Source organism: Homo sapiens, chromosome 8 (assembly GCF_000001405.40).
Source record: "Homo sapiens chromosome 8, GRCh38.p14 Primary Assembly".
Classification (NCBI taxonomy): Eukaryota; Metazoa; Chordata; class Mammalia; order Primates; family Hominidae; genus Homo; species Homo sapiens.
Genome location: NC_000008.11, coordinates 29,916,285 through 29,939,162, shown reverse-complemented (window position 1 = coordinate 29,939,162; position 22,878 = coordinate 29,916,285). Strand labels below are relative to the sequence as shown.

The 22,878-nt window shown below is 39.1% G+C and overlaps 1 long non-coding RNA gene across 1 annotated transcript in view; it reads right to left on the bottom strand.

The window, feature by feature from the left end:
• LINC02209 (long intergenic non-protein coding RNA 2209) overlaps positions 1-17,650 on the bottom strand; it is a 32,097-nt gene extending 14,447 nt beyond the window's left edge. The window contains 2 exon segments of the long non-coding RNA NR_024473.1: positions 15,842-16,126; positions 16,514-17,650. This is a non-coding gene — a long non-coding RNA (long intergenic non-protein coding RNA 2209).
• Positions 17,651-22,878: the final 5,228 nt, after the last annotated feature.

The window sequence follows — 22,878 nt, the reverse complement described above, 5'->3', positions numbered from 1 at the left end:
TGCTAGGAAAGGAAAAATGGCCAAAAGAGATTTTCCCAAAAGGGCAGAACCAAATGGCCAATAAAAGATGACTAGATGCTCAACCACCATGAAATATCACCAAATACCACCAGAACAGATCATATAAAAAAGATAGGCAATACCACATTTTGACAAGGATGTACAGCAATAGGAATTTTTATATACTGAACAGACAACTCTAGTCCTAGGTGTATTGCCACCAGAAATGTGTACATATATTCACCAAAGGGCACGTACAAGAACGTTCACCACAACACTATTCAAATTAGCCAAAAACTTGAAACTACTTCAATTACCATAGAAGGGGTAAATAGTGGTGTATTCACAAATGGATAACAGTGTTTAGCAGTGAGAATGGGCCAACTGCACAATATGGATGAATCTCACCAACATGATGAAAGAGGCTAGGCACATACAAGTACATGCCATATGACATCATCTCTATAATGTACAAACAAGGGCACAATGAATCCATGCTGTGGTTACCCTTGGTGAGGGGCAGGGGTGGCAACTGAGAGGGAACACAGGAGGGTTCCATGGTGCTAGAAAGCTCTTTTCCCTGGCCGTTGGGCTGGACACAAAGGTGCGTGCAGTTTGTGAACATTAATTGGGATCTGCACTTGTGATATGTACACTTTTTGTATGGATATTATACTTTAATGAGCCCTTTGAAAGTGGGGACTCAGGGACAGAGTGAGACTCCATCTCAAAAAAAAAGTGGGGATTCAGGGTGCTATAGACAAATTGTAGAGTGTAGTAAATTATTCACCTAGTCCCCTTCCCAAATGAGATAACTTTACATCTGTGAAAATGCTACAACTGGCCTGGCATGGTGACTCACACCTGTAATCCCAGCACTCTGGGAGGCCAAGGTGGGTAGATTGCTTGAGGCCAGAAGTTCGAGACCAGCTTGGCCAACATGGCAAAACCCCGTTTCTCTGAAAATACAAAAATTAGCCAGGTATGGTGGCGTACGCCTATAGTCCCAGCTACCCAGGAGGCTGAGGCAGGAGAATTCCTTGGACCCAGGAGGCAGAAGTTGCAGAGATTGCACCACTGCACTCCAGCCTGGGTGACAGAGCAAGTCTCCATAAAAAAAAACAAAAAACAAAAAACAAAAAACAAAAAAAAGAAAAAGAAAAAGAAAATATTCTGACAACCATCTCTCCACATTAATGTCAACGAATGCAGAAACTGTACAATAACTGTGAGTAAAAAGAGAAAAGTCAACAAACACCAGAGCCATTGTCCCACATGCTCCTGCCTCACATGGTGGGGTTTGGAAGCAGGCAAAGGCAGATGAAACAAGCTCAGGGGAACATGCAGAGTGGACGCCAGTGAAGCGGCCTGAGTGTGGAGCGACCCCCAGCAGGATGAAATCCACCTGAAATCTGAAAATATTCAGAGCGTGACAGCAGAGAAGGGATCCGACGTATTCAGCCCTCTTGCTTTTTGAGTTTTTAATAATAACCATTCTGGCTAGGGTAAGATGGTATTTCATTGTGGTTTTAATTTGCATTTTCTTGATGATTAATGATGTTGAACATTTTTCCATATGTTTGTTGGCCATTTGTATTTCTTCTTTGGACTAGACATACTGTTTAAAGGGATAGACATTCTTTAAATGGGAAAATCTGATTTAAAAGGATGGTCTTTTGGGGAGAAAAGCTTCTGGGAGAGAAAAAGGCAAAAGAGAAGGAAGGAAGAAGCATGCTTTGGAACTTGGGTGGTGAAGAGGAAAAGAAAAAAGAGGAATTTTATTGTCCTACAAGACAAAAGAGAACTAAAAACTGGCAGCCTCCTAACCTGCCCATGCCACCAAAACAAACAAACAGATGAAACCCCACTGAAGTACCTGGACTTTTCCAGACAGAAAAGAAATTAAATGAGAAATCTTCTAAAATACTGCAGTATCATAGAAATGAATAAAAGGAAAGTTTTTAGAGAAATAGTTCAGAAAATGAGGGAATGCATTTGCATGCAAATCAACTGAGAAAAAGTCCCTTCCTGAAAAACAACCATGAAGCAGAAGAAAATTGTAGGTCTACGTTCCAAAATGAATTAAATATACAGTCATGCTTCGCTTCACGATGGGGATAAGTTCTGAGAAATGCGTCATTGGGCGATTTTGTCATTGTGTTGTGTGACCATCATAGAGTTTATTTATGCAAGTCCAGATGGTATACTTACTACCCACCTGGGCTGTGTGGTCTAGCCTATTGCTCCTTGGCTACAAACCTGTATAGCAGGTTACTGGACTCAATACTGTAGGTAATTGGAACATAATGGGAAATATTTCTGTATCTAAACATAACTAAATATAGAAAAGGTACAGTAAGAATGCAGCATAAAAATGGGGTACCTGTGTGGGGCACTCCCTATGAATGGAGTTTGCAGGACAGGATGTTGTTTGGGTGGGTCAGTGAGTGAGTGGTGAGTAATGTGAAGGCCTAGGACATTACTGCCCCTTTAGACTAAGCTAACTTTATGAAACAATGTTTCTTCAATCACAAAAGTAACTTTAACTTACTATAACTTTTTTTACTTTATAAATGTTTAATTTTTAAAAGCTTTTTGATTCTTTTGTAATAACACTTAGCTTAAAACACATATTGCATAGCTGTACAAAAATATTTTCTGTCTTTATATCCTTGTTCTATAAGCTTTTTTCTATTTTTATTTTTAAAACTTTTTTCTTAAAAATGAAGACACAAACACACACATGAGCCTAGGCCTACACAGAGTCAGGATCATCAGTATCACTGTCTTTCACATCTTGTCCCACTGGGAGGTCTTCAGGGACAGAAACATGCATGGAACTGTCATCTCCTGTGATAACAATGCCTTCTTATGGAATACCTCCTGAAGGACCTGCCTGAGGCTGTTTTACAGTTAACTTAAAAAAAAATAAGTAGGAGTACACTTTAACGTGATGAAAGTACAGTACAGTAAATACATAAACCAGTAACAGTCATTTAGTATCATGATCGAGCATTATTTATTGCACATAATTGTATGTGCAAGACTTTTATATGACTGGCAACACAGTAAGTTTGTTTATACCCACATTGCCACAAACATGGAATGCATTGTGCTATGACATTGCAATGGCTACGACATCACTAGGTGATAGGAATTTTTCAGCTCCATTAAAATCTTATGGAACCACTGTCCTCTATGTGGTCCATTGTTGACTGAGATGCCATTATTTGGTGCATGAAGGTGAAGCAAGCATTTGAGGATCTGGAATTCAAAAATTAAGAGCAGAAATGGAACAAAAAACAGGGAGAAAAAAAAGAGTTCCTTAAACTCAGGAAAGAAATGGTAGAAAAAGACAAAATTGTCTCAGAAATGAAGAATAAATTACAAGATGTACAAGGGAGAATGGACCAAATGAACATTTAAGAAGGGGCAGGAAAACAGGAAGACACCAAAGAAATGAAAATGAGTAGAGAAAAAGGTAAAAAGTCTCAGAAAGTAGTAAAAATGGAAGACAGGCAAAGAACAAATAATATTCATGTTATCTGAGTCCCCGAAGGAGGAAAATAAAACAAAGGAACAGAACTAACATTTAAAACTGTAATCTAAGAAAATTTTCCAAAAGTAGAAAAAGACGTAAACCCACACATTGAAAGAAGTCATCTGGCAAAATTAATCCAGAAACAATGAATTCTCAGACTTATCCTGGTATAACTATTAGTTCTCAAAAAATAAAGTTCTCAAGGCCTGTCTCCAGGTAAAAAGATGAAATCACTTACACAGACAAATGAATTAGGCTAGCGTCAGATTTTCAAAACCAGTATACAAAGCAAAGCGACAATGGATATTTTCGTATTCCTGTAAATCTCCTGGAGTTTCGCTCTGGGAGGCGTTAGAAACTGTAGATCCTTAGAAATGCGTAGATCCTTTCAGAGCTTGCTTTTTAGATTGTTAGGTGGGTCTGAGCAGTGCTAGTGTAGGGCTAATTATTTCCTACCACTGAGGCAAGATCTTCTTCCGTCCTCTACGTCACGCCCAGTGAGTTTTGAATTTCTCCAATGTGGGTGATGGGAACAGGCACTCTTATTGGCCCTGTGTGAGAGATGCTTTCTCTAACCCTTTTGCCTGGTTCTTTCCTTTGTCTTGAGTAGTTTGTCCATATACATCCATTGATCAGTACTCGGCTAAATGCTCAAGGGGGACCCTTTGCAGATTTCTGGGGTTCTCTATCAAGGTTGAGATAATGGCAGGAGGAAGCCTGAGATAAAATTGGAAAAATAACAGATGTAATTAATTGCTTTGTATCCTGGGTTTGTAGAGCTATTCATTCAGGTCGTATAGTACTGGATCTAAAATACTCAGAAGCTGGGATGAAGTAAGGAATAAAGGACATGACTTTGAGGATTTAATGACCCTAGAAGTCTAGACATACTTTTTCTTGAATTCTGAGTGTTCAGATTCCCTGAACATTTAGATCGAGTTGGATTGCCTCCCTCATTGGAATGAGGTCTCTTTATCATCAGAGCTCCTATTCTGTTTATTCAGACTGTTTTTCTACGAAGGAGACCTGGCAATGTATGTTTTTGTTATGGCTAATGTCATTGCTTCCTTAGGACAGTGGCCAGAGAGATAAATTAGCTGAGTTGACTAAGCTGGAACTAGTGACATTTCCATGCAATCCTATGTTTTTCTGCCCATTCCTTCTTTCATTCACTTAACAAAGAGCAACTGAGCCCCTACTATGTGCTAGGAATTACATTAGGCATCAGGAATATGAAGAAGAATAAGACATGAATTGTGCCCTCGAGATGCTGGCAGCATCCCATGCAGGGCCTGCTCCCCTTATAAGAAAATGAGCACCCCCAGGTAGAAGAGGTGAAATAATGGAAGTTTTTATGGAAAAGAATGTTGGTTTGGGGTGCCATTGTGGTCAGATTAGATCACTGGGTATTAAATTTTGGGGCTGAAATGTCCTACTGTTCTTCACACCAAACGTTCCCTCACTCTATCACAGTGACCTCTCCAGGACTCCTCTTTTACAATGCTACCTGTCCTAGCAGTTTTTGAAGCAATGAATTAAATTTTCAGAGGTGATCAAACCAGGCCTTGGGAAAGTGAGACAAGCAGGAAGGAGGCTAAGATGAGGGCTCATCCTGAAGCAGGAGCAAAATCTGGGAAAGGCAAACCCAGGACAGGTGGTGTTTGGGGGGCCTGGGGCTGTTATGGACCCCAAGAGGGTGCTGGAAGGAGTATTAGGTGGGTGGGGAAGGAGGAATGGGGAAACTATTAATAAATCTACCCATTTCTCATCAGCTATGGCTAAACATTTTGGATTTCAATTTTGATGTACTTCACTCTGGGTTCACCCACCCAGAAGGCAGGAATGGGTGCTTCAGTCCTGTACAAAACTTTCATAGCAACCAGGGTAAGGAATCAGGAAAGGACAGCTTAGGTTCTGCTTTTGGTTAATCAAGGCACACTGATGCACTGGGTAAGATCTGCTTTGAAGCTTAAAAGATGCGTTCAAAACCCTGAGTTTTTACTTACAAACTCCGTAGCTTCTGACATGTTATTTAACCTCTTTGAACCTTAATTTCTTCATCCATAAAATGGGAAGTAATAACACATAGTAAGGATTATCAGTAAGAATTAAAGGAGAGTGTCTCTATAAAGTGCCTTGTATGGTGCCTATTTCATAATAGAAACTCAGCAAATATTTGCTACATTCCTCTGTATACATCCAAAAGCAATTGAAACACAAAACTGGTCTTGTATCCTCCATACCGGCATCTAGCAATTATCCATATAAAAATGTATATGGATGGGCTGGGGTGTGGTGGCTCACGCCTGTAATCCCAGAACTTTGGGAGGGCCGAGGGGTGGGGGGAATCACCTGAGGTCAGGAGTTCAAGACCAGCCTGGCCAACATGGTGAAACCCCATCTCTACTAAAAAATACAAAAATTAGCCTGGCGTGGTGGTGGGCGCCTGCAATCCCAGCTACTCAGGAGGCTGAGGCAGGGAGAATTGCTTGAACCTGGGAGGCAGAAGTTGCAGTGAGCCGAGATCACGCCACTGCACTCCAGCCTGGGCGACACAGTGAGACTCTGTCTTGGGGGGAGAAAAAAAAATAAGTTATGTGGATGAAATCAACTACTCACTCGTCTAGATTGCTACTCAGTCAAGTGGCTTGTTAGTACAAATGAGTTACCTGCTATTGTTTCCACTGGAAAGGACATCTTTATTATGGTGCCTTGTGATTTTCCAGATTAAATCAATCTGGATTATTTTCATTAGGTGTTCCTTTATTACTATTATAGGTATAAGATGCAGGGAGGTAGATTTGGACGGAATGCAACATAGCAGAGATTTTCAAATAATTACTGTTTTCTGAAAATATAATGTCCTGAAGTAAGTTCAGAGTCCTGGTTATGTTCAAGGAGAGGTTAGATTACTACTTATCCAAAATGAAGTGGAGAGTTCGTCCAAATTACTTTCCAAGTATGATGTTTCCTAGACAGATAATTTAAGATTTATTACATCCAATGGAGGGCGGGGGGTGTGGACAGTCTAGTTAGTTATTGAAAAGGTCTTTCTGTTAAGTGAAAAAAAAAATACAAATAGCCAATTTGTAGACAATGGGTAGTATTTTTGGAATGTTGATGAAGAATGTAGATTTTTGTCTTTGAAATGCATGAACATTGGTGAGAAAAAAATTTCTTCAAGTATTATGAAAATGTTCTGATGTTTCAACAACTCAGCCATGGCTACACATTTTGGATTTTTGCTTCTGATTTATTTCACTCCCAAGTTCACCCAGGAGGCGGGAATAAGATGCTTCAGTCCTCTACAAAATTTCCATAGCACCCAGTGTAAGGAATCAGGAAGGAATAGTCGGAAGGTAAATTTGGAAACAGGAATTTTGAAATTATATCTTGACTTAGTCTTTGGTAGGTCACCTAATATAGATATGTCACCTGTAACTATCACCTACCTGTAGATAGTAATGAAAATTGCTGTATTACCTTACCCAATATGATCACTGTGGGACCAAATAGGCAAATTTTTAGGAAAACGGTGTGCCAATTGGCTGGGCCTGTACAAATGTTGGTTGCTATTATCTCAGCTTCACACATTCAGGAACTTAGGAACTAGACACATACTATCTTTCAGTCATGTTGCATTATCTTTGGAAACCCAGAGAGATAGTTTGATTTTGTTTCTTATATTTTATTGATTTCTTCTCACTTTTATTTTCTTTCTTCTGCTTGCTTTGGGTATAATTTGTCGTTTTTCTAGTTCCTTAAGTTAGACGGTTAAGTCATTGATTTAAGAACTTTCTTATTTTCCAATATTAGCATTGAATGCCATGAATTTTCCTTTAATCACTGCTTGACCTGCATCCCATTAATTCTGATTGTGTTTTCATTTTAAATCCAATACCAAATATTTTCTAATTACCCTTGTGATTTTCTTATTTTAAAGTGTGTTTAATTTTCAAATGTTTGGGGATTTTTGAGATATCTTTCTGTTACTGAGTTCTAGTTTAATTTCATTGTATTTATAAAACATACTTTGCATTTATTTAATTCCCTTTAAATTTGTTGAGGTTTTTTTATAGCTTAGAACAAGGTTGCTCTTGGTGAATATTTTATATATGCTTGAAAAGAATGTTTATCCTGCTATTGTTAAGTGGAATGTTACGTAGTATCAAGAAGGTCAAGCTGGTTTATACTATTATTTAGATTTTCTATATCCATACTAATTTTCTGTATATTTGTTTTGTTAATTATCGATAGAGGAACGTTGAATCCTCTAACTTGAATTCTCTAACTGCAATGTCAGCTTGTGGATTTGTCTATTTCTCATTTGAGTCAATTAGTCTTTGCTTCATGTATTTTGGAAAGTCATGTTAGGTACATTTAGGATTGTTAGGATTGTTAAGTCTTCCTGGTGTATTATATCCCTTTATCATTATGTAATATTCTTCATATTTTACAGTATTCATTGTTTGGAAGCCTACTTTGTCTGATCTAGATTTCTTTTGATTAGTGTTATTTTGTTATATCTTTTCCCCCCTTTTCACTTGCCTTTGTCTTTATATATAAAAAGTGGGTTTCTTGTAGACTGCATGTATCTGGGTCTTGCTACTTTTGCTACTTTTCTAATTTGACAATCTCTGCCTTCTAATGGGGAGAGATAGACTTCATTATTATTTAATAAAATTGTTGATATGGTTGGATTTAAATCTACTGTCTTGCTACTTATTTTCTAAATGCCACCTTTTTTGTTTCCTTATTCTCGTTTCTGCCTTATTTTGCATTATTTGAGTATTTTTTTTGTGATTCCACAATCGGATTATTAGTTATACCTCTTTTAAATTGTTTAGTAGTTGATGTAAGATTAACAAAAGACATCTTATCATATTACAGTCTATGGTTAAGTAATTATATTGCTTCCTTTATAGTACAACAGTATATTTTATTTTCTGTCTCATCTTTTATGTTATTTTTGTTATATATTTTACTTCTATATATGTCATAAATTTCACAATATATTGCTATTATTTTGCCTAAGACAATTTTCCTTTAGAGAGACTAAAAATCAGAAAAAATACTTTTATATATATTCTGATATTACCAATTTTATTGCCCTTTATTTCTTTGTGTGAGTCAAAATCTCCGTCTTTTATCATTCTCCTTTTGCCTGCAGAGCTTTCTTTAACTCCCCTTTTAATGCAGGTTTACTGGCAATGAATTTTCTCAACTGTTGTCTTTTAGACAATATTTTTATTTTGCATTTATTTATAAAAGATATTTTTGCTGGGCGTAGAAATCTAGGTTGATTTTTTTTCTTTCAGCACTTCAAAGATGCCTCTCTCGTCTTGTCTTGTCTTGTATAGTTTCTGATGCAAAGTCTGTCATATTATCTTTGTATCTCTGTATGTAATGCTTCTTTTTTCTCTGGTTGCCTTCAAGATTTTCTCTTTATCTTTGATTTCAGCAGTGTGAGTATGATGGGTCTTTGTGTCTGTGTATATTTATCTAGCTTGTGTTTCTCTGAGCTGTTTGGATTTGGTGTGTTGTCTCTAATTATGGAAAATCATCTGTTATTACCTCTTCAAATATTTCTTCTGCAGTATTCTTTCTCTCTTTTCCATCTGGAATTTTAATTACATGTATGTTAAACTGGTATTCTACCACAGTTCTTTAATGCTCTGTTTTTTCTTTTTTCTGTTTTAATTTGGATAATATTTTTTCACTCTTCAGTTTTACTTGTTTTTTCTTAAGCTATGTCTTATTGAAAGAATTTTGTATTTCAGATATCATGTTTATTGAAAGTGATAGAGCAAAAACAAATCCTAAACACATTGTATCATGCTTTTTATTTCTAGCTTTCCATGTGACTTCTTTTAAAATTTTAATTAATTATTATTTTTTTTAGATGGAGTCTCATTCTGTTGCCCAGGCTGGAGTGCAGTGACGCAATCTCAGCTCACTGCAACCTCTGCCTCCCAGATTCAAGCAATTCTCCTGCCTCTGCCTCCTGAGTAGTTAGGATTGTAAGTGTGCACCACCACACCTAGCTAATTTTTATATTTTTAGTAGAGATGGGGTTTTGCCATGTTGGCAAGGCTGATCTTGAACTCCTGACCTCAAGTGATCTACCTACCTGCCTCGGCCTCCCAAAGTGCTGGGATTACAGGCAAGAGCCACCATACCTGGCCATCCATGTGACTTTTTGATAGTATTGCTTTGCTAAAGATTTCTATCTCTTCATGTAAGTTACCCACTTATTCAACTAGATTATCTAAAATATTCTATGGTTGTTTAAAAATCTGTCTGATAATGCTAATGCTCATATCATCTCTGGGTCTTATTAATCTATTGATTTCTCCATGTCTTCATAGTGGTTTGCTTTATCTTATTTTGTCTGTCTTGTTATTTTTGATTGACTGCCACACATTATATGTAAAAGGGTAGTAGTATCTGAGGTAAGTCGTATTTATGTTCTGAAATGGGCATGACTTTTCTTATTTCATGCTATTAGTGTGCGAGCTTGAGTTACTCTTGTCAGTACATGTGTTGAGCTTAGGTTTTGCGGTTATTGTAGTTACCTTCAGTAGACTGTGAGCTTCAAATTCCTTCAGTGGTGGACTGCTGCTAACTTGCACTTGACATGGGGCCTGAGATGTTGAGAGTTTTTCTCTATATTTATGTTTCATCATTAGTTTTCAGCAGCCTCTGCATGGTTCCATCACAGATAGGATATTTATTCGTATTCTTGCCGTCATACCCTCAGGTGTAGACAGCGGTTGTATGTTATTTGGTGTGAGGCTTGTGATGCAGCGGGGAAGATCTTTGTTCTCCTGGTTCAGCATTTGTGTTAGGTAGGTCCTGTGTCATTGAGCCTCAGTGGTGGCACTTTCTCAGTATTCTTATCCCTCCCCTCCATTTCAGCCAAACTCTGCCTTATATTAGGTTGGTGCAAAAGTAATTGTGATTTTTGCCATAACTTTTAATGGCAAAATCCGCAATTTGTTTTGCACCAACCTAATATCTGTGGGAGCTCTTGTGTAGTCAGATTTTTCAGTTTTGCCTTCAGTGGCAACAGGCCACTGCTTTGTATGAGTGTAGGGTCCTGGGCTAGAGAGAGTTTCTCCTGTTCCAGAAGCTTTCTTACCCCTGTAGCAGAGAACTTTTGCTTTCTTTCCCTTTGAGATGCAGGAATCTTTGCCAGGGCTCTGAAAGTGGGAGGTTTTCTTGCTTTCTCCCCAGCAGCTTTAGACTTTTGCTCCATGTTAAAGAAGTAAGCGAGACCTTGTGCTTGTTCCACCGCAGCAGCAGATGTTCATGACCAGAATGTTGGCAACATTGAAGAGACTCACTCAAGTTTCCTATCCTGCCTGAAATCCTTCTCAAGAGTACCTGGTACAGGTTTAAGAAAAATAACTGGTGTGTGGGTGCAGATTCTGCTTGTATATAAGGGGTCTAGGGATTGCATATTGTGTCTTTAGCCTACACTTGACCTTTAAGAATTGGTTAAAATTGTAGCTGTTTTCTTTTTACCTACCTTTATGGCACCTGCCTTTTCCTTTTGTGCTCTGCCAAAAGGGAAATAGTTTGTGTGCCCTGTCTCTCCTTAGAGGGGTCTGTGACTCACTGGAACTTACTTCAGTTGGTTGCTTTGTGTTCTCAGCTCTGACGGGCTCAAGAATAGGTTCTTTGGCTTTTTCTCATTATTGGGGTGGGATCAATATTCTCTTGTGCTTTCTATATCCTAAGTGGAAGTGAAACTTGGGGAAAGTTTAGTAAAGGAATTATTTGTAGGAACGCAGATCAGATCTATGAAAACCACAGGATAATGCAGTGCCCTGGGGCAAGTAGTAACAGGGCTTTGTTACCATTGTGTTACGGGTTAAATTGTGTCCCTCCAAAAGACATGTTGAAGTTGTAACCTTCCGTTCCTCTGAATGTGATCTTATTTGGAAAGAGAGTCCTGGCAGACATAATCAAATGAAGATGAGGTCATTATGGTGGGCCCTAATCTTGTATGTCTAACATCCTTATAATAAGAGGAGAAGAGATATAGACAGAGACACAGGGAAAACATCAGGTGAAGCTGAAGGAGAGATTGGAGTGATGCATCTATAAGCCAAGGAATGGCAAGGATTGCCAGCAACTTTCAGAAGCAAGGCAGGTGCAACGAAGGATCTCACTTACACCCTTCGGAGAGAGCATGGCCTACTAAAACCTTGATTTTAAACTTCTGGCCTCAGAACTATGAGACAAATGTCTGTTGTTTGAAGCATAGAAATTTGTTATGGAAGCCTTAGGGAACTAACACACACCGTTAGGCCTGAAGGGGTGAAGGGACAGAGGGAAAGAGCTGTGTGGAGCTCTCATCTCAGGATGATACTAACATGGGACTGAAGGGGACTCCAGGGAATAAGCAACCCAACCTCTCTATCCTCTGTCCTTTCCTCCTCTTGCTGGGGGGTCGTCTTTGATTAAACTCAACTGGAAGTCAGAGGTCAAGTGTGTCAGTTGAGGTAGTCCATATAAGTCAGCCTCCTGGGGCAGACAGCAGAGTGGGGAAGACTGAATAGAAGATGTGAGAAACAAAAGGAAGATAGTGAGTCCAGCAGGGCTTTGTGTAACAGACAATATAACTCTCTAAATTTGTTTCTGGTAGGTGGTATGGTATCACTAGAAGGACCACAAAGTTAGCAGATCTGTGGTGTGTTCTGGCTCTGCACTGACTCATTGTGACTTGAACACCTCATTTAACCTTTCTGATACTCAGTAAGAAGGGATTAAGCTAGATGACCTCTGCGGTCTCTTCTCGGCCTTTTGTTGTGCTTACAGGAATGAGTAATCTTATGTCAGACAAAATGAGGTCTAAAATAAATGTTCTGAGTTCATAACTTGGAATTTTTATGATTTTTCAACCAGGTTCAATGAAGAAAACTATGATTATTGTTGATGATAATTATACCTTTACTTACCAGCTGTTAAAAAAAATGTGTTTTCATGTCTATTATCTCTTTTTAATGTAGTAGCTCTGTGAAAACTTTGCTACTTAGGGGTTAAAATTCTTTTTGTCTTTGTGTTTACAGTCCATATGGCTCATCTCAGAGAAAAGTTGAATTGCTTGTTAATGAGACTTGTTTTTGTCAAGGAACTCACCACTTACTCTTTGTAGTTCTTTCCTTTCAGGAACTCTTTCCGCATAGAGTTGTAGAGAGAGAGAGAAAAAGAGAAAGTTTTTGGGCCTTATGTATTCTCTAGTCACTAAGGAGCCAAAAGGTTTTTTTGTTGATTCTCTTTCAGCCTTTGAAGTCAAAGGTCTTCTCCCACGTGGGCTACAGAATTGTTGGTGTGGGGATGCCTGTGAGGGCTCTGACATTGCCGGTCCAGATGCTAGAGTTAGCTTTGAGCAAAGGCAAAGACTAATGACCCAGTAATGTTATACATCACAGACAAACCAGATGGAATCAGTTTCAGACTTCCTGGTGTCTGCAAAGGGAGATTTTTCTTTTGTGTGAGTCTCAACTCAATTGATGCCTCATTCAGAATGGCTCCTCTTATCTCAAAAATCCATGGTTATCATTTTCCTTCTGCTCTCCAAATATTTTCAGTTAATAGTTCATCATAGATGACCTTCTGATGTCAACTCATTTATTGAGGCAGGGATCAGGAAGACCTCCAGTATGGTGACATGGAGAAAGATACGCTTATTTAGGGACAAACAAAGCAACCAAATTCATGATAGACACATACTCATGAGAATATATGATTATGTTCTTTCTTCAGTATTGTAACAGGACTATAATATGTAGCTGTGCATTGGATGATTGAGTAGTAAGCGATGCCCTTGTAGGAAGCAACAGGGCAAGAGATATTAGCACCGGGTGGGAAAAAGGAATGACAGTAGGTATGGAAATAAAGAGAACAAGAGAAGGTAGTATTAGTTTATATAAATTCACTTGCCTTAATATGGCCTACCTCTTATGAATTTGGCAATAGTTCATCTGATATGGAGTAGCAGATTGCAAACTAGCTAAGTGTGAGTCAATGACCACAGAAAAAGGCATTGAGGCAGAGGGAAGCCCAGGATTCAGAGAGAACTGCTGGCATCTGCAGGTGAGAGTTTGACCATTGGAGAGGGTTTTGTGTTTACTTCTAAGAAGTGGTGTTTTTGGAACGTCTGGTGCAGAAAAGAAGTCTCAAGTAATCTTAGGTCCATAAACCAAGGGGTCTGTGGATAGAACTCAATTTTAATGTATTTGTTTCTTTTGTGATTCTATGTGTTTTAAAAACATTATTCTGCCAAAGAGGTCTATGGCACAAAAAAGGTTAAGAATTTCTGAATTGGTGGAATTGCAAAATATGGAACCAACCTAAATGCCCATTGACCAACTAGTGGAAAAAGAAAATGTGGCATACATACACCGTGGAATACTACTCAGCCATAAAAAGGAACAAAATAATGTCTTTTGCAGCAGCCTGGATGGAGCTGGAGGCTATTATTCTAAATGGAGTAACTCAGGAATGGAAAAACCCAATACCGTATGTTCCCACTTATAAGAGGGAGCTAAGCTATGAGGATGCAAAGGCATAAGAATGATATAATGGACTTTGGGGACTTGGGGAGGGAGGTTTGGAGGGGGTGAGGGGTAAAAGACTACATATTGGGTACAGTATACACTGCTTGGGTGACAGGTGCACTAAAATCTGAGAAATCATCACTAAAGAACTTAGCTATGTAAAACCACCTGTACCCCAAAAACTATCGAAGAAAATGGAGGATACTTAATGGTTCAATGAGTGAGACAGATTTATGTATTTGTCAACTTTGTTTTGTAGTAAATAAACTACAAAACTTAAAAAAATTCTGCATTAGGAAAACAATCCAATAAAAGGCATTTACTAGGTTCCATGCCAGCAGGTAAACTGAGGTCTGAATCGGCAAGCTGCACACACTGCTAGGTCATAAAGGCAGAACAAACAGCTGGTCAAGGTTGAGGTGATCAATGAAATGTCAACGTGTTGCACAGCCCTTACACATTCAATACATGATGTGTGCATAACACAATTTTTTTTGATATTTGAACTTAGTATGGTTTCCTGGTAAGAGTAACTCTTCCACCTGGTAAAGCTTGTTACCTACTTCCTTTCTTACATCAAAATAAATTCCAGAAGGATCAAATGCTTAAATGCAAAAATATGAATCTATAAAAACACTAGAATAAAACCTTCATGAATTTAAAAAAAAATCTTAGAATGGGTAAGACTCTTTTAGGTATGATGTAAAACTAAGAACCATAAGGAAGAGGATAAACAGATTTGCCTATACAAAAATAAAAAAAATTTACTTGAAAAAATACCATCAGAAAGGCAAAAGACAGCCTGGAAAAAAAATAATGGCAACACTTGTAACAAAAGGACTCATTTTCAATAGTACCAAAATTGCTTCTAAAAACAGGAAAGAAAAAGACCAAAATTCAGAGAAAAATGTGTATAAGACATAAAGAGGGAGTTTGCATAAAAAAGAATGAATCTGTCTTACAGAGACTCATGCTCACTGATAATGAAAGAAATACAAAATAAATGGACAGATTATCATATTACCCCCATTGGATTGGCAGAGATTTAATAGTTCGATAACTCCCTCAGTTGGCTAGGATCTATGCAAACAAATATGCCTGCACACTGTTGTTCCTGGGAGAACAAATTGGTACAAGTGTTTGAAGATCAATTTGGCAATATCTATAAAAATTTTAAATGCTTCATTCCTTTGACTCACCATTTCTACTTCTATGAATTTATTTTGTAGATAAATTCATGTAAACTTGCAAAGTTATGTGTACAGGCTGTTCCTTGCTGCTTTCTAATAATAACAAAAGCAAATATATAGACACAAGGAAGTAGCCTACGTGTTCATCCAAGGTGGCAGTGTACCCTCATGATGGTATGTTAATACAATGGCTTATAGCTATTAAAATGGGCCACACATATTGTATTAATATGGAAAGCTCTCTAACATACATTACATTAAAACATAAGTTGCAGAATAGTATGTAAGAAATGATCTTATTTCCTTTAAAAAACATTCAGAATATTCACAAAGCATGGAATGTTAGCAGTGGTTACCCTGGTAGTGCAGAATGGTAGGTTGGGATGGGGAGTGAAGAGGGAGCAGGAGAAGACTGGAGATTTGCAGAATCTTCCTACCCACTCCCACTCTATAGCTTCCATATTATTTAAAAATTTTAAAGCAAATTTATAAAATATTTTAGTAAAAACATAAATTTTTTTTTAAGAAAAAGGATTACTTACTGCTATGGTTTGAATGTTTGTGTCCTCTGAACCTCATGTTGAGATATGATTGATGTGGGGCCTTTAGGATGTGAATAGGTCATGGGGGCTCTGCCCTCATGAATGGATTAATGCCATTATTGCTGGAGCGGGTTAGTTATTGAGAGGCTGGGTTTGCTATACAAGCAAGTTCAGCCTAATTTCTTATCTCTGTCTCACATGCTCACTTCTGCCTTCTGCCCTCCAGCATGGGCTGACCCTTGCCTGATGCCAGTGCCATGTTCTTGGATTTCCCAGCCTCCAGATCTGTGAGAAATAAATTCATTTTCTTTATAAATTTTTCAGTCTGTGGTATTTTGTTATAGCAGCCGAAAACAAACTGAGACACGTACCAAGAAAAAAAGAATGCTTACCTAGATATTAGATATTCCCGTTTATATGGTGTTGAGAGACAGGAGTGACATATTAAGGTAAGGTTGGTGGCTTTGGGAATACCCCTAGACCAACCTCAGTGGTGTATGTTCACCCTCTTCTATTTTTCTAAAGGTAATATTTCTGTGGGCCATGCAAACTCAGGGTATTAAATCCTCTGGGATGCTACTCGTGGTCATTATCTTTTCCTAAACTCCACATTTTAGCCTTGTACAGAGTGATGTCATTGTAGACCCAGAAGTTACCTACTTCCTTTCTTACCTGTGGTTCGGCCTGTGGTTGTGGCATTCTGGGTTGACCAGGAGATGTGAGGCTGAGAGATGCTCATTGAGTGTGGCTTCCCTATTATCCCAGCATTGCAAAGCCTAGGAAGGTCTGAGCAGGACAGCACTGGCTGGGCCAGCCACACTTGTCCTTCCTGCCATAGTAAGCCTGCTACAAGATGTTGTGAAATGTTAAAGATGCAATGTTTCCACATGCACACTTCACACCCATGTGAGCCAGGTCTTTACTCTCTCCCTTTTCGACTTAGATCTTTTGTTGTGTAAGTGGTGTGAGCTTCAGCTAGAATGGTCTCCCTGTCTTCCATAGTCTCCTCTCTCCAAGGAGAGGTGCCATATCTGAAGAGGTGCTCTTGCAAATGATCAGTGTATTTACTCTCCTCCTCACTGGTAAAACCTGGGCTTTACTGTGCTATTTACTCAAGTCTCTATGAAGCAGCCCTGCTTCAGAGCTGCACGTTTTAGACTGGAGTTGGGTGAATGAATGAGAAGGCTCCATTCCAAGGGCTCTGAATCCCATCCAGTTTCCTGATTTTTCAGTCTGTATCTCTGGGTATTTCTTCCTTGATCCCTGGGAAGCATGGTGAATGAGATTCAGAAGCCTGGCATCTGTAGGTTTCTCCAGGTTATCATGCAGAGACATGGGCTTCCTGGTGATCATGTGACCTGTGGGTTGTCCAGGGAAGGTAGCTGGGAGGTGGTTGGGCATGGGGGTCTGAAGATCCATTTGAGGTCCAGTCACATTTGGAGGGAGCTGATGTGAAAGGCCCAGATGAAACTGCCCAAGGAGCATCTGCAGTGGCAAGAGTTGAGGGTGGGGCTGCATCATCAGGGGAGCACTATGGGCCCAGAGGCTACTACCCCTGAACTTTCCAAAGGTCTAAGACAATATCAGAAGCCCTTGTGGAGGGATTCAAGTGATATCATGTATAGGGTTTCTATGTTCATAGCTCCTTGAGGTCCCTGCAAGGTCTGGTTCTGGGATGGACCTCATCTGGGATTGCCTCCTCCCTTTGGTGTCCCACTATGGACTTGGCACTGCTTGTCTGGTCTGGCCTCTATCAGTGCCTCTCTCCATCCTCAGCCTTCTGTCATCTCCAGGCAATGGTGTCCTCTGCTGTCTCCAGGCAACAGTGTCCCTGTACTGCCCTGCCCCAGCTTCTCAGAACCCAGCCTGGTTACTAGAATCGCCCCTGCATACTGCCAGGAAAGGGCTCACTGTCAAGGGGCAGGCTCAGGAAGTATTGGACACATGATTAGACCTGATTTTGGCCAATTATTTTCCTCCTGATTATACGCTTTCCACTTTTCTCCTCCACCTTCTCTGCTACTTGTCCTGCAGTTTGCTATGTGGTTACAGACAAGTTTCAATGGAGAAGCCAGTTCCAAATGTAGAGGCTAATGAAGTCTGGCTGCTCATGCAGGAGAGGGAAGGAGCAGACTGTTGAGGCTGACTGTTGGTTTGCCATTGTCTTGCATTCCCTATGCCCACCATGTTAGGCTTCCAGGAGTCCACACTCCTGGCCCAAGAACTGTCACAGTAGTAGGGAAACCATGTGTCTAGGATGAGGTTTGTGAGCCCCCAACAGGACTAGTTAGTGGTGACTGGAATGGGGGTGGAGACTAGAATACAGAGGACTAGAAACTAGGCCTAGGAGGAAAGGTAGGGTGAAAAAGAAGGCAGTAGTGGAAATTGGGACCCTGATGAATATAGTGGTGGCAAATGCACAGGTTAAAACCAACAGAAGACAGCTGGGCAGGGCAATCCTTAAGGTAGGGTAGTGGGCAGGGATGATGTTGACAGGTAGGGACGAAACAAAAAGTTGGATGGAACAGGAGAGTAGGGTGCAGCCTGAGAATTGGGAAAAAATGAGAGAAAGGGCTGGATGATGAGAGCAGGAAGGAATGGAAAAAAGTGAAGGCTGGGGTTGAGATGGAGAAATTCAAGATAGCTGTCTTGACATCTTTTCACATGAGAGCTCTAGTTACTCACTTGTCCACAGGAGTCAAAATGTGCCCCAGGCCTATTCAGCATTTATCTCACACACCCACTCCTTGCATCACCCCATAACTGAATGCCCATTGTGAAACTCATTATGCCCCTCCCTTTTGATCTAGTGAATAGGCTCCACCAACCAGGAAAACGGTCCCAGTTTCTAGGTTTAAGAGTAATCATGGGGGCTGGGTGTAGTGGCTCACGCCTGTAATCCTAGCACTTTGGGAGGCTGGGATGGGCAGATCACCTGAGGTCAGGAGTTTGAGACCAGCCTGGCCAACATGGCGAAACCCCATCTCCACAAAAAATATAAAAATTAGCCAGGTGTGGTGGCAGGTGCCTGTAATCCCAGCTACTCAGGTGACTGAGGCAGGAGAATTGTTTGAACCCAGGAGGCAGAGGTTGCAATCAGCTGAGATTGCACCACTGCACTCCAGCCTAGGCGACAGAATGAGACTCCTTAAAAAAAAAAAAAATCATGGGAAATAAAGAGAAGAAATGGGCTACAGTATTAGTCTCTGTTCTTGGGATGTCATGTAGTTTTGCCCCTCAGTAGGCAAATGTTTATCAAAGGGCTAGAAAAGAGTTATGAGGTTGGGCCCTAGGAGAGCAGTTCTGAAGTGGGACTTGGGAAAGTGGGAGAAAGTCAGTGCCCCAGCCTCTTTAACTTACCACATTGTTCAAAGCCCTTTCCCATCATTTACATCACTGCATGAATATATGGGATTACAGAAGGGATATATATATTACGTTCATTTTACCAATGAGGACACTGAAGACCAGAGAGGGAACTACCATAGGCAGGTAGTAGATGACAAAGCAGGTGGGACTAGAATTTGGGGCAAAAGGAGGGGCAGGTAGGAGGGAGCACAAAATGGCTCAAAGCACCTAGCAGCAGCATTACCTCCGCCTATGTCTCTGGGCTGGGTCCTGTAGGGAGGAAGTGCTTAAGAGCAGAACTGTACTTTTTGAAGCTTATCCCTTGGTCCTGGTGGTCCATTGGTTTGATGCATTACTCTTAACCGGAACCAGAAACGTAGAGCCAAAGCTGGTAGAATAACTGCCCACTCCTGAGTGCCTGAAGACTAGATTTGGGCTTCCTTGATCACTACCTGAGCTGCTGACTCCATGGCAGATGATTAAGGAGGCTACTGAACTCTTCCCTCTTCTTTTTTTCTGATGTAGCAACCCTGTCTGCTTTAACATTCCTGGTTTCTTTGATCACTGTACAAATCGTAAGCCCCTTTGCTTTTCTATTCTCTTTAGTACTTTTATCACCATAATATTCTGATTTTTCTCCCTTGACCCAATACTCTTTTCCTCCCTTATTTGACAAAACTCTAAGTTGTACTCCCTAGAAGTCCAGGTACATAATTATCAAACTTCCCTATTTCCTTAGACTGCTTTTTTTTTTTTTTAATTTTAGATTCAGGGGGTACATGTGCAGGTTTGTTGCATGGACATATCGCATAATGGTGAGGTTTGGGTTTCCAGTGTGCTCGTCACCCAAATAGCGAACATTGAGCCCAATTGATAGTTTTTTTAACCTTCACTCCCTCCCACCCTCCTCCCTTTTGCAGTTCCCAGTGTCTATTATTTCCATCTTTATGTCCATGTGTACCCATTATTTAGCTCTTACTCAGAAGTGAGAACATGTGGTATTTGATTTTCCGTTTCTGAGTTATTTCACTTAGGATAATAGTCACCTCCACGCATGTTGCTGCAAAGGACAGGACTTCATTCTTTTTTATGGCTGCATATTTCATGGTGTGTATATATACATTTTTTCTTTATCCAGTCATCCATTGATGGGCACTTAGGTTGATTCCATGGCTTTGTTATTGTGAATAGTGCCATGATAAACATACTAGTACAGGTCTATTTTTTTATGTTATGATTTATTTTTCTTCGGGTAGATGCCCAGTAGTGGGATTGCTGGATTAAATGGTAGTTCTATTTTTAGTAGTTTCAGAAATCTCCATACTGTTTTCCATGGAGGTGGTAGTAATTTACATTCTTACCAAATGTGAGGGGTATAAGGATTCCTTTTTCTCAGCATCCACACCAACATCTGTTGTTTGTAGACTTTTTAAAAGTAGCCATTCTGAATGGTGTAATCTCATTTTGGTGTTACTTTGTGTTTCTTTGATGATTAGTGATGTTGAGAATTTTTTCATATGCTTGAGGATGCTTGTATGTCTTCTTTGATAAAGGTATGTTTATGTCCTTTACCCACTTTTTAATGGGATTGTTAGTTTTTTTTCTTGTTGAATTGTTTGAGTTCATTGTAGATTCTGGATATTAGTCATTTGTTGGAGACATAATTTGTAAACATTTTCTCCCATTCTGTAGGTTGTCTATGTACTCAACTGATTATTTCTTTTGCTGTGCAGAAGCTTTTTAGTTTAATTAAATCCCATTGGTCTATTTTAATTTTTATTGCATTTGCTTTTGAGGTCTTAGTCATAAACTTTTTGTCTAACCCAATGTCCAGAAGAGTTTTTCCTTGGTTTTCATCTAGGACTTTTGTAGTTTCAGGTCTTACATTTAGGTCTTTAATCCATCTTGAGTTACTTTTGTATGTGTTGAAAGATAGGAGTCCAGTTTCATTCTTCTGCATATGGCTAGCCAATTTTCCCAGCACAAGTTGTTTAATAGAGTGTAGTTTCCCTATTATTTATTTTTGTCAACTTTGTCAAAGATCAGTTGGTTTTAAGTATGTGGCTTTATTTCTGGGTTCTCTATTCTATTCCATTGATCTGTGTATTTACTTTTGTGCCATTACCATACTGTTTTAGTTACTATAATCTTGCAGTATAATTTGAAGTCAAGTAATGTGCTGCCTCTGGCTTTCTTCTTTTTGCATAGGATTTCTTTGGCTTTTGGGCTCTTTTTTGGTTCTATATGAACTTCAAGCATCGTTTTTTCTAATTCTGAAGAATGCTGTTGGTAATTTTATAGGAGTTACATTGAATCTATAGATTGCTTTGGGCAGTATGGTCATTTTAACAATATTGGTTCTTCCAACCCATGAACATGGGATGTTTTTCTGTTTGTTTGTGTCACCTGCAGTTTCTTTCATCAGAGTTTTGCAGTTCTTATTATAGAAATATTTCACCTCCTTAGTTAAATATATTCCTAGGTATTTAACTTTTTTGTAGCTATTGTAAATGTGATTGCATTTTTGATTTTGTCCTTTGGTTAGATCATTATTGGTGTATAGAAATGCTACTGATTTCTGTATGTTAATTTTGTATCCTGAAACTTTACTGAATTCATTTATCAAATCTATGTTTTTTTTTGGTGAAGTCTTTAGGGTTTTCTAGATATCATATTATCAGAATTTGACTTTCTGTTTTTCAATTTGGTTGCCTTTTATTTTTCTCCCTTGCCTGATTGTTTGGTAAGAACTTCCAGTACTATGTTGAATAAGAGTGGTGACAGTGGACTTCCTTGTCTTGTTCCAGTTCTTAGAGGGAATGTTTTCAACTTTTCCCCATTAACTGTGATTTTGACTGTGAGTTGGTTGTAAATTGCCTTTGTTATGTTGTGGTATTTTCTTTCTGTGCCTAGTTTGTTGTACATTTTTATCATAAAGTGATGCTGAACTTTATCAAATGCATTTTCTGCATCTATTGAGATGATCATATGGTTCTTGCTGCTCATTCTGTTTATGCAATCCATACATTTATTGATTTGTGTATGTTGCAGCATCCCTGCATCCTTGGGATAAATCCCACCTAATCATGGTGTATTATCTTTTTGATGTGCGGTTGCATTCAATTTGTTAGTATTTTGTTGAAAATTTTTGTGTCTATATTCATTAGAAATATTGGTCTATAGTTTTCTTTTTTTGTTGCGTCCTTATCTGGTTTTGGTATCAGGGCGATACTGTCTTCATAGAATAAGTTAGGTGAATTCCCTCCTCTTCAATTTTTTGAATAATTTCAAGGGGATTGGTATTAATTCTTTGTATGCTTGGTTGATTTTGGCTGCGAATCCATCTCATCCTGGGCCTTTTGGTTGTTGTTGTTGGGAGTTTTTTTTTTTATTATTACCAATTCAATCTTGCTGCTCATTATTTGTCTGTTCAGGGGTTTTATTTCTTCCTGGTTCAATCTCAGGAGGTTGTATGTTTCCGGGAATTTATCCATTTCATCTAGATTTTCTAGTTTGTGAGTATATTGTTGTTCATAATAATCTCTGATAATATTTTGTATTTCTGTGGTATGTACATTTCTGTGGTGTGTTGTAATGTCTCCTTTTTCATTTCTGATTGTGTTGAGATTTTTTCTTTTCTTGGTTAGTCTAGCTAGTGGTTTATCAACTTTGTTTATCTTTTTGAAGAA